A 13,074-nucleotide genomic window follows, 5' to 3' on the forward strand; every position below is an offset into this window, starting at 1 on the left:
TATATGAAACATTACAGTTTTTAAAGAATTGTAATTTTAACAGGAATAAAAGGACCATGTTAGCAGGTACTATAACTATGTGAATAGAAAATTCAAAATATATATCCACAAATTAAAACAAGCAGAAATTTAGTTTGTTACATTTCTGCCTAAATTACATTTTTAAATACAAACATTTATTAAATGTTATTTTAAAAGATATCATTGAAAAGGTACTTAGAAATAAATGTAACAAAAAGTCTTTAAGATATCTATATATTGAAAACATTGCAGGAAATTTTGTATATACTTAAATAAATAGGGAAACATACCATGATTTGATTGTATATTGGGAACTCAATATTGTAAAGATAAGAATACTTCCATAACTACCTCATAGATGCAATGTAATCAGTCAACATCCTAATGGTTTTTATTAATGTATTAGTGGTTATATTTGATGAGGTAATTATAAACAATAAATGAAAAGACAGAGGGCCAAATGTAGCTAAGTTACTTTTGCAGAGAAAAATGTTGTTTACTAAGCCCTAGGATAAAGTTAGATTTATTAAACAGTGCCTTTTCAGTATAAGGCAGGATGAAGAGACCAAAAGAGAATATAAACCCTAGAAGCTATCCTTCTCACATAGGGAGAATAGATTTGTGATTAAAATGGCATTGGATAGCACCAGGAAAGTCATTGTCTTTTGAAATAAATGTTACCATATTAACCGCACTTAAATATTTTAAAAATGAAACTTGACTTCTATCTTCCTATAGATACATGATTAATAATAATGTGAATAAAGTTTAGAAATATTGTACCAATAAAAGGTATTAATGAAATTGTATAACATAGTAACAATTTAAGAATATTTCCCCCACAATTACCCCTAACGTATTCTATATTTATTGGTGTAGTAAATCAAGTATTTTAAACACCAGTAAAATTAGCATACAAAATGCACTGGAAAATATCATGAAAATACTCAGAAACTGTGATTTAAAATATTATTTACAAATTAAAATTTGAGTAAAATGCTATGCAAATCATTTCTTATTTAATCAACAAAGTTTACAAAAATAAAATTTACTTATAGGAATAGTTAAATGATAATAAATTTTCATAAATTTCATCAATGATAAGAAAGAAAACCTAGAAAAAATAGTGTGAAAGAAATTGAGCTAGCCAGGCACAGTGGCTCACACCTGTAATCCCAGCATTTTGGGAGGCTGAGGCGGGTGGATTACTTGAGGTCAGGAGTTCAAGACCAGCCTGGTCAACATGGTGAAACCCCAACTCTACTAAAAATACAAAAAATTAGCTGGGCATGGTGTGCACCTGTAGTCCCAGCTACAGAAAAAAAAAAAAAAGAAAGAAAGAAAGAAAAAGAAAACAAGAAATTGAGCTTATAAGATCAAGTATTCTTTACCGTAGGTCATATTTTTTTGGAGGGGGATTGTTTGTTTGTTTGTTTTTGTTTTTTTGCGATGGAATCTCTGTCTCCAGGCTCGAGTGCAGTGGTGAGATCTCCGTTCACTGCAACTTCAGCCTCCCAAGTTCAAGCAATTCTCCTGCCTCAGCCTCCTGAGTAGGTGGGACTACAGGCGCCTGCCACCATGTCCAGCTAATTTTTTTTTGTATTTTAATAATTTTTTTTTTTTTTTTGTATTTTAGACAGGGTTTCACCATGTTGGCCAGGATAGTCTCGATCTCCTGACCTCGTGATCTACCTGCCTCGGCCTCCCAAAGTGCTTGGATTACAGGCGTGAGCCACTGCGCCTGGCCCATATTGTGATTTTATTTTGTGAAAAAAATGTTTCAGTCTTCCTGTGCAACAGAAAATCTCCAAATATGTGAATTTATTTCTTATTCCCTAAATTAGGAAACACCAAACTAAACACAACACTACTGGTTATCTTCCAAAATATATAATTTTACCTTTTTAACATTTATTGGTTTTATTCTGGAGATAAGTGGCATGGGGTCACATAGACCTTTAGACTATCTGTTCTTCATGTTTAAATGTATAATTGATTGTTTCATACTGTGATACTCATACATAGTATACTAATTTTCTTCTGAGATTTCTCTGTCAGCTTCAATATTAATATGAGATTTGGATGTTTGCCTGCTTAACATAACATGTTTAATATGAGAATGAATATATAATAATGTGAAGATTAATTTGAAAATGGCAAAATGAAGCTACCTCTATAAAAGAATAACACTGGAAAAGTTTTAATTTTTGACCTGTCCATTCGTATAGCTGCTCTTTTTGTTTCTTTTTTAAAATTTATTATTTAGTTGATTTAATTCACAAATTTGTTTGTTGTACTTCTAACTCAAAAAGAAGAGTCTTCTTAGGGTGATTGCTTTTCCTAATGGTTCACATACAGCCGCAATTTAAAGGCAAATATTCTGCCGATAAAATTAATTATTTGTTCTTCATCTCCAAATACGTGTGCTGCTTACCTACATAAAAGCTTTCAGAGGTTTGTTGTGAGTTCTACATTCTCCAGTGAGATTTATGGTAAAAAAGCTCTTCACACTTTACAATGTAAAATGTCATGTGCGTTAATGGTTATGATGATATTAGAAGAATCCTATTTTTAAGAAGCACTCATAGGGATATATTAAGAAGACATAAACACCTAGACCACATCAGTTCCATTAAGTCTAAAAACTCATTATCCAAATGTTAATACAATTGTCATTCATTATGACAGTAGAACAAGATATCTTCATGAGCAAAAGTAAATGTGTTTGCTATGGTCTTGGCTTTACTTTTGATACAGGCAGCTGTTTCCAACAAGACAGCTGTGGTAAGATAATAGAAACTATGGAGACAATAGCTGCCTTGTCATATGATAAGTAATGCTCTTGGAGTGATTAGATGAAGAGCTTCTTATCCAATGAAGTATGTGCTGCTTTTCAGAGTGATGCAGAACTTTGCAGAAAACTTGTAAACACTCATCAAGATGGCATAAATGGCTAAATGCTAGTGGAAGCCTTTCTTAATGATAAAAATAAAAAGTATTGTGAGGCCTTTAGTTGCACAGCTTACTGTTAACCATTACGGGATCTAGAATTGTACAGATTTGAGCTTGATATCATCCTCTGAATTTTGTTACCTCTGTGAACTGGACAAAGTTCCTAATCTCTGATTTTTTGATATTTTATACATTGAGAAATATAATTGTTCTTATGTGATTATTCTGATGGTTAGAAAAAAAGGGTGAATGAAAACTAGCTTTACAAGAGAAGGAGTGAAGAGGGTATAAAACAGTTAAAAAGCAAGGAAAAGTAAAAAGTAACATACTTAGATTTATTTATGCATTTGTTTTTGTTCAATGATTATAAAACAAATTTAAAGAAGTAAAACATGTAGAAAGAAATTTATTCATTCATTTGAAAGAATCAATGAAATTTATGTAATATGCCTGATGATAATGAATAGTGTTAGTCATTTTAGCTCATCTTCAGAATAACTTGATTGTTTGGTTCTATTCAGCCAGCAATACTTCATGCTGCTGAATGTTTTCCACGTACACTGTTTATCTTCCTTCTTTCTCACCCCAAACCTGTCTTCCTTTTGTGTTTAACCTAAATCAACAATGTTACAAATTCTCAGTCACCTATACTAGAAATTCAGAAGCACTTTGAAGTACTTCTGTACCAACACATAGACTCAACTTCTACAAACTTCTGAAATTTCCTCCCACACAGTTCTTGAGCCACTTTTTTCACCTCTATATTCACTGTTCTTATCAAGGCCATTGTGTGCTCCCTGCAATAGCTGCTTAGTTCATAATGTGCCACTTCTCTCTTTCCTCACAGCTGCATTACATTGTTATAGATAAACTCTCCAGACAGCTATAGAGTCCAGTGTCTACACTTATGCTTTAAATCCCTTACCCTCTGTTTTTGCAAGGCACAATTCTAGCAGTTTTACAGGTCTTTCTCTGAAGAATTCTGCATTCTCTCTCTAAAAAATAATTCTGGTGAGCTATAAATATATTAGAAATTTTTAATCTTAAAAATATGTACATACCTATATCTATAAACATACCTACATGTAAGCATATAGATACACTTCTACTGAATTAACTATGTGTGTGTATACACATGCATATACATATCTAAATAGAAATATATCTATCTACCTGTCATCTCTCTATCATTCCTATATCAATCAGCATAGGCCAGATTATGCTGTGGCAAAAAAAAAAAATCTTTATCAGTTGCTTAAAATGATAAATACCTTTTTGCATGTGATATCTGGTGACATATAAGTAGTTTATGCTCATTTAATTCATTTGGGGTGATTAACAATTTGCATGTTCCTGGTTGCTGTACAGAGCAAAAGAGGACTCTGAAGGATCTCAAACCAGCAATTAAATATTCTGGCCCAGAAGTAATTCTCATATCTTAAAGTACATATCATATTTTCAGCACCACCCAATGTTAATAAAGCTAAGAAGATCATCCTTATACCCAGAGAGCAAAGTTGAAAATATTTGATGAACTGAATTAATTCCAATGACAATCCACTTTTCTTATGACCAAAGGTAAAATATACTCACTTCATCCCCAATGGAAAAAAACCACAAAGCCCAGTTCAGTAATGACATCATTGCATCAAATTTAAAGTTCAGGAACTTTGGGGTGGGTGTCCTTACCACCTCCTCAGGCTCAGATGGTACCCCTTTGATTTAGACCCTTATGGAATAAAGGCATGAGTTTGCTCCCTCTTGTTACAGTCAATCTTATATTCATTTGGTATTGCTGGAACAGGAAAAATATATTTACAATGAATACCTCCACTTGGATAAATGAAGAAGGAGAGCAATATTGATCTATAGAAATTTTGAAATTCTGAAATGTCTCTTGGCAGAAAAGTTAGTGAAGAAGGAGGCAGGAAACTTCTTTCTAAGGCCCTCTCTTCAGGACTAGAAACCTTGTTCTCCAAAGACCCTGACTCTGACCTCCTAAAGTTCTTTCTTTTTCCTTATCACTTTTGCTCTATCTGAAGGGACTTCATAAAATACCTACTGTATTAGTCTATTCTTACACTGCTATAAAGAAATACCCGAGACTGTTTAATATATAAAGGACAGAGGTTTAATTGACTCACAGTTCTGCATGGCTGAGGAGGCCTCAGGAAACTTACAATCATGGCAGAAGGGGAAGAGGCACATCTTACATGGCAGCAGGTGAGAGAATGCTAGCAAGAGCAGGGAAAACTGCCTTGTAAAACCATCTGATCTCGTGAGAACTTACTCTCTATCATGAGAACACCATGGGTGAAACTACTGCCTTAATCCAATCATTTCTCACCAGGTTTCCTCCTAAATACCCAGGGATTACAATTCTAGATGAGATTTGGGTGGGGAGACAAAGCCTTACCATACCACCTACTTTGTGGGTTCTGAGAAACTTTCTAAAGCTCACTTGATGCAGAGACATCTGGAGACAAAAGCTTTGTTTTAGATCCTAATTGTCATGTTTTCTTTCAGATACTTTAGAAAAGATAGTCCCCTCAAAAATATAATAAGCTTTTTGTCTACTCAGTTTTGGTAGCCTCCAAGTGATAAAAGCCTAACTAGCCCTGGTAAAATAGTAAGCAGAAGAGCCAGATTCAAACCTCAACTGTGGGGCTCAGGGTCCATGATCCTAATCACGATGCTATGCTGACTCTTGCTCATTTTTTTTTAGCTTTCCCAACTATAATCATTTTGAAGTGCCATTCCATTTATATTTTTGAGTCATTTTATTAATATCTGTAAACTATCTTTCTGGAGTAGTTATTCAGATTGTCTTTAATCCTTAAATCTAGTTAGAAACAATGGATATCTTAACAATATTGAGGTATTCCAATTCATGAAAATGAAATATTTCACTTTTTACTTGATTTTTCTCATTAGACTGTTATACATATTAATCATATAAAAGTTTTGTTAGATTGATTCCTAAATGCTTTATATTTTTGGTGCTATTGTAAACAGTGTTGTTTTTGTAACATCAAATTCCAATTGTCCATTGATGGAGTATGAAAAGGTAATTGACTTTTGCATATTGATCTCTATCTTCATAAGCTGAAATGTTTTTCATAAATTGGTGTTGGATCTTGTCAAATACTTTTTTATGTGTCAGTCGAAATGATCATGTTTTTCTTCATTAGCCTGTTGATATGATGAATTATATTATTGACTTTTGCATGATAAATTAGCCTTGAATTCTTGGAACAAATTCTATTTGTTCACGGAGTGTAACTGTTTTTGTGCATTGTTTGACACAATTTGCTAATATTTTATTGAGGCTATTTCTGTTTAAGTTTATAAGAAAAATATTGTTCTATAGTTTTACTTTTAGTAATGTCTGAATATGATTTTCATATTAAGGTAATATCAGCTTTATACAATGAGTCAGAAAGTGTTTCCTCTGCATCTATTTTCTAGAAGAGATTGTGAAAAAAAAAATGTTTCTTTCATATATGTTAGGTAGAATTCACCAGCGATGGTATCTAGGTTTAGTGTTTTCTTTCTTGAAGGTTATTAATGATGTATTTAATTTATTTAATAGATACAGAGTTGTCAAGAGCTCAGCTGAGCTAGAGAGAAAGCTGAGCAACCAGGTGTCCAGTCGTTTACTAAAGCAAAAACATGCCAAAATTCAAGTAACAGGGAAGCCTTTAATCACTTATTGCAATAGCATCAGCAAGATGCTAAATTCAGAGAAAATACCTACTCTCCCATTTTCCATTTCCCCAGTTGGGCCAGTTCATTGGTGGAGGGTCAGGTGTATCAGCACAGAGTGGCATCACTATGAAAGAGAAAGAAAAAAAGGCTCCTGTAGTTTTATGGACTCTAAGGCTGTGGGGAGAGAGTAGAGAGAGTGCTAGGAATGAACAATTACTAAGTACTGAGTCAGACTAAGTATTAGTGTCTTCAAACACAGGTCCTTCCCCAAGGAGGTCTCAGAAGAGGCACTTGATGAAGACCTCAGCCAAATGCCTCAGACAAAAAAGCTTCTACATGAACACGCCTGGACTAAAAATGCAGGTATGCACAAGAGCATGTCCAGCCAAGCAGGGCTAAGTATTGGACTGCAACTCTCTTCAAAATTGCAATGTACTGGCTGTGCACATAGTCTAGTTTAGGAAGGGCAGCTTTCCACTGTGAAGACTACCAGGTAAAGCCTTTTTAATGGCTTATGGTCAGATCTGAAAAATCACACAGGAATGTTTTGTTGTTATTGTTGTTGTTGATGATATTGTTGCTGTTGTTGTTTTAATTTTTGACCAGGAGCTGGACTTCTAAAAAGCTATTCTGGTTATCTATTTCTCCTTGTGTAGAGTTTTAATAAATTGCATCTTTCTTTTTTTTTTTTTTTTTTTTTTGAGATAGAGTCTTGCTCCGTCGGCCAGGCTGGAGTGCAGTGGCGTGATCTTGGCTCACTGCAACCTCCGCCTCCTGGATTCAAGTGATTCTCTTGCCACAGCCTCCTGAGTAGCTGGGACTACAGGCATGTGCCACCATGCCTGGCTAATTTTTTGTATTTTTAGTAGAGACAGGGTTTCACCATGTTAGCCAGGATGGTCTCGATCTCCTGATCTCATGATCCTCCTGCCAAGGCCTCCTAAAGTGCTGGGATTACAGGCGTGAGTCACCGCAACCCGAGCCTAGATTGCATCTCTCAAGAAATTAGTTGGTCCATTTTTTCTGTTATAAAATTTGCAGGCACGGAATTATTCATAGTATTTCTTTGTTACTCTTTTAGTGTTTATGAGATCAGTCATGATGACCTCTCTGTCATTTCTATTACGCTAATGTGTATCTTCTCTCTCTTTTTCCTCATTATTCTGGCTATAGTTTTATTAATTGTATTGATTTTTTCCATACATGTAAATTAGATAACATCAATTCATAATGCTATTCTGATCATCTATATCCTTAGTGATTTTCTGCCTACTTGATCTAACCATTAGTGATAGGAAAATGTGGAATTCTCCAACTGTAATACTGGATTTATCTTTTTCTGCTATCAGTTTTGCTTCATGTATTTTGAAGCTGTTGTGATACATAAATATTTAAGATCATGGTGTCTTTTTGAAGAATTGACCTCTTTATCATCATGTACTTGTGCTTTTATTGCTGATCACCTTCCATCTTATGAAGTCTGGCTTGTCTGAAATTAATATAGCTACTTCAGCTTTATTTTGCATAGTGCTAGCGTGGTATACATTTCTCCACCACTTTACTTTCAACCTGAGTCTTTATATCTAAAGTAAGCATCACGTAGAAAAAGCATAATTGGATCTTTTTTTAATCAACTGTAACCATCTCTGCCTTTTAGTTGGTGTATTTAGACCATTCATTTTTAAATGATCCTTGTTATGATTAGAATAACATCGGCCACGTTTTTGTTTTCCATGCGGTGCATTTGTTTTGTTTCTTCCACTCCTTCCTTCCCTGGTTTTAATTGAATATTTTCTGTGATTTTATTTTACATGCTCTTTTTTCATACCTGTTGCACTTCCTTTGGAACTTTTTTGTACTGACCTCGAGTTTACAATACATATTTTTATTTAATCTAAATTCACCTTCAAATAACACTCTATTGCATGCAGTGCAGGTACTTTCCACCATAGTATTCCTAACTTTTTTCTCCCATCACTTATAATAGTGACACATTGGTTTCACTTATCTATATCCTAAAATTATCAAGTGTAGAGGTACTATTATCGCTTTAAATAAAGAGTTATCTTTTAAATCACATAAGAATAAGAAAAATAAAGATTTTATTTTACGTTCATTCGTGCCTTGTCTAATGCTCTTCTTTTTAAATACAGTTTCTGATCTATGTCATTTTCTTTCTGCCTGAAGTATTTCTATTAAAACGTCTTGTGAGGCAGTTTTGCTGGAGATAAATCCTTTCAGTCTTTGTCTGAGAAGACTTTATTTCTCATCAACTTTGTAGAATAAGTTTGCTGGTAAAAAAATTGTAGGTTGATGGATTTTTTCTTTTAGCACTTCAAAGGCTTCTGCTCATTCTTTTTTCTTGCATGGCTTCTGATGAGGAGGGTATTGTAATTCTTATTCTTATCCTATATTTAGGATGTTTTATTTTTTATCTGGCAGCATTTATTTGTTGTGTTTGTTTCTCTGCAATTTGAATATAATATGCCTAAATATGTTTCTTTTTTGGTTTTTATTGTTGTTTTGTTTTGTGCTTTGATATTTATTCTACTTGGTATTCTTTGAGCTTCTGGGATCTGCAATTTGATGTATATTATTACTTCAAATATTTCTTTCATTTTTTTCTCTTGACATTTTAATTACACATATGCTACACCTTCGATATTGTCACCCTGTCATTCTGTTTATTTATCTCTTTGAATTTTCTTCTGGAAGTTTCAGAAGTTTCTTTTGAATCTATCTTCAAGTTCACTAATTATTTCTTCAGCTATGTAAAGTCTAATGGCTAGCCCATCAAAGACATTCTTTATTAGACATTGTTTTTGATTTCTAGTATTTTCTTTTGATTTTTGGTTACAGTTTCTACCTTTCTGCCTTCACTAATTATTTATTTTCTAATGTTGTCTACTTTTTTCCATTAGAGCACTTAACATGTTAATCTTAGTTATTTTAAATTCCCAGTCTGATAATTCCAAAATATCTGACATAATTGAATTTATTTCTGATATTTTTTGTATCCTCGGACCATGTATTTTCTGTGTTTTGGCATGTGTTATAATTTTTTTGTTTAAAACTGGGCATGATGTATTTGATTATGGGAACTAAGTTAAAAAGGCCTTTAGTGTGAGGTTTTATGCTAGGAGTTGTGTTGTGTTAAAGTTTATTCTAACTGTAGGTGTCAGAGTCATCAATTTCCTCTAGTGTGCTTGTTTTTTGTCTTTTCCCTTGGTTTTGAACTTCCCTTAAGCACTGCTCCTCAGAAAGAGTTTAAGTTCTACAGTTCTTTCAACTGTAATTATCTGTTACTAAATTTGCACCCAGTTAGTGTAGAAAAAGATGTATCAAAGAAGAGTATTTTATAATATTCCTGTTAAATCAGTGTTTAAATGGCCCTGTGTCTTAGGATAGTAACCTTCATAATGTTTCTCCAGTGGTATAATATTTTTTTTCCACAGACCTCTACTCTGGTCTACAGTGTTCTGTCAACTTCCATGACTTGATTCCTATTAGCTACTTTTTTCCTTTAGTTAGTTACAGGAAGGATAGAAAGAGCTGGAGTAGGAGAACTGCCCTTCCTACAGCTGTCATAAGGCATTAGAAAAATGCCTTCCCCTGGAGTTTAAGCTTTTGTGATGGAGAAATCTCTTGGTCTATTTTATAATGATTACCTTTCTTTTCCACCTGCCAGAACCAAGAGGGGATCTTTCTTATATTTTCACCATGAGAATGTGTTGGGCTTTATAGAAAGACTGAGACCCCCAGCAGTTTCTCAGTCTCATATTAACCCATACTCAACCACTAACAATGATGAAAGTACTCTTTTAATATTCCTACCTGTTTAGGGTTCCAGCTGCTTCGTTTCCCATTAAGCGGATCTAGGGTATTTCTTTCAGGATGTGCTGGCTTCTCATATTTTCAGCCAGCAGTTCTCCCTGCAAATTCAGAATTCAAACAAATCACTGATTTTTATTTTATCCAGTTTCCACTTTAATATGGTTTGATTTTGTGTTCCCACCCAAATTTCATGTTGAATTGTAATCCCCGATGTTGGGGGAGGGACCTGGTGCGAGGTGATTGGATCATGGGGGCAGATTTCTCCCTTGCTTTTCTCATAATACTGAGTGAGTTCTCATGAGGGATCTGGTTGTTTGAAAGTATGTAGCATTTTCCCCTTCACTCTCTCCTGCCATCTTTCCCTTCACCCTCAGCCATGATTGTAAGATTCCTGAGGCCTCTCCAGAAGCAGAAGTCTGTACAGCCTGCAGTACTGAGAGCCGACTAAACCTCTTTTCTTTATAAATTACCCAGTCTCAGGTATGTTTTTATAGCGGTGTGAGAACAAACTAATATACTCCTGTTGTGGGGATGCAAGTGATTAATTCCAAGCTCTTTAAATGTTAAAATGTAACTGCATTTTTTCCTATAGCTTACCTCTTACTGATTCCATTTTTGTCATTCTCATTATTTATTAATTTATCTTTAACATTTTGTTGTTTTCTGAAGTGTTATTTTTAGTATCATCTACATGTTCTTTAGATTTTCTAAACATCTATTGAGTTATAGACTCCCAAATTAACTTAATATTCATGAGATCATAAAATCCTATAATAGTGTATCACTATAAGGCAAACCATGATTTCCGTATCCCCAGCAGAAAAGAATCGTAGTGCATATAAGTAAAGTAAATTCTTATCTACATGACATGTTTTCTGTGGCCTCTGGAAAGCTACTTTAATTCCAAAGCAACTTTTCTCCAACCAATATTTGAAATCCCTTTAACAGGAGATCAATCTTTTATACCACAATGAGAAATAAGACTTCAGATTTTTCCTTGGAGATGTAATATGTTGAGTTCAATTCATGCAGAGTAAAATTAAATAACAAGTACTTCAAAGGCAGTAAGCTTGAAAAGGAAAAGTAATGGGTCAGATAAACTGAAAAAAAGAACAAAAATATACGCATGTTGTGAAGAAACTCTGAAAGTGTCCCTGCTCTCATTTTAAACAACAGATCTATATCTTTATAAAGGAAAGTATCTTACAGTTGGAGAATATAAAGCCAGATAGATCTCACCCCTAAAGTGGATCATCAACCATTTCCTGTTGGAAAATTAGTGACTTAGTGCTAGACAGAAATTTAGTGACTTTTTAACTCTCATAAGCAGGAATACAGATCCAGAGCACTTAAGTGAACCAACTAATACACACGGATAATTAGTAGCAGATATATAACTAAAATTAAAATATCGAAACTCATATTCTTTGCTAACTTTTGATTTTGAAACATACAGTAAAAAAGTCACTCACATTACTGAGTTTTGAATCAAATGAGAACTATAAGAAGACATAATTGTCACAAAAGCAGAATGTTGTTATGCCTATGAATATTTACAAATATATGTGTATATATATGTTCATTCTAATATATACACTTTCAAAACGATGGACTGAGCACATAACTTAGCTCTACCTGGCCTACTCAAATGTATGGTATTAATTTTTTTAATTTAAATATCTATAGCTTTTTCAGAAAGCTATAAATGCCATGCTTAGTGGACAAGAAATTTGGGGGAATCCTGGAAATAGAGAAAACAGATAATATATTACTGAGAATAAAAGTTCAATATGAAATGCTTGAATGAAATGTATGTATAATGGATCAATATAAAGGATCTGGGATTAAAATTACCCTCCCTACAACAACACTAACACAGACAAAATATGTAATTCCTAGCAGTTGTATATTTTGTGTATAAAATGTATAAAAAATGTATACAAAAGAACAGTATTCACTGAGAGAGGAAAATAGAGCAGACAGAGTAAAGAGACTACTAGCAAAACAGTATTGCAGTCTCTCTAAATTAAGGATAGAAGTTGGAAGTTTAGAAAGGCTAAGAAAACTGGAAACACTGTGCAAAGGTATGTAGGAGAGTTTTCCCAAAGTGATTTATAGATTTAAGCATCCCCAATTAATATCTAAGCAATCCCAATTAAAATCTTAGCAATCAGTACAACAGTATAAATAGTACAGAAATAGACCCACCCATATACAGTCAACTGATCATTGGCAATGGAGCAAAGCAAATTCAATGGGGAAACAATAATCTTATCTATAAACAGTTCAGGGAAATGATATTTTTCTATACTGAAAAATAAACATTGATTCATAACTTACACCAAATAAAACAATTAAATTGAAAGGAATCCTATAACCAAATGTAAAACCAAAATGGAAAATGTAGAAGAAAACACAAAAGGAAGTTTTGACTAGAATGTGGTATAATTCAACTTCTTATACACTGCTCATGAGAATGTATCATTGTACAATTGCTTTGGAAAGTATTTATATGGTGACATAAAGAACATCAATTATGGTCTTGGAATGGGGATTTTG

General features: G+C 33.6%; 1 long non-coding RNA gene across 2 annotated transcripts in view, besides 1 other annotated feature; it reads right to left on the reverse strand.

Annotated features, from left to right (window-relative positions):
* The window catches only part of LOC105377514 (uncharacterized), a 58,262-nt gene that overhangs the window by 28,583 nt on the left and 16,605 nt on the right, over window positions 1–13,074 (reverse strand). The window contains exons 2-3 of one of the 2 annotated variants that reach the window (XR_939407.1): window positions 10,516–10,613; window positions 6,732–6,805 (exon numbers count right to left, since the gene is read on the reverse strand). This is a non-coding gene — a long non-coding RNA (uncharacterized LOC105377514). Of the gene's footprint in view, window positions 1–6,731; window positions 6,806–10,515; window positions 10,614–13,074 lie in introns of those variants that run through there. The other variant, XR_939408.1, reaches the window with a different exon arrangement.
* Window positions 1,412–1,634: a silencer, noted in NCBI's record as "fragment chr4:162017778-162018000 (GRCh37/hg19 assembly coordinates)". NCBI's record gives its function as "represses an EF-1alpha promoter that drives an FKBP-Casp9 reporter gene in an ReSE screen in K562 erythroleukemia cells {active_cell/tissue: K562}" and the evidence as "EXISTENCE:reporter gene assay evidence [ECO:0000049][PMID:32094911]".

This window comes from Homo sapiens, chromosome 4 (assembly GCF_000001405.40).
Source record: "Homo sapiens chromosome 4, GRCh38.p14 Primary Assembly".
NCBI classification, from domain to species: Eukaryota; Metazoa; Chordata; class Mammalia; order Primates; family Hominidae; genus Homo; species Homo sapiens.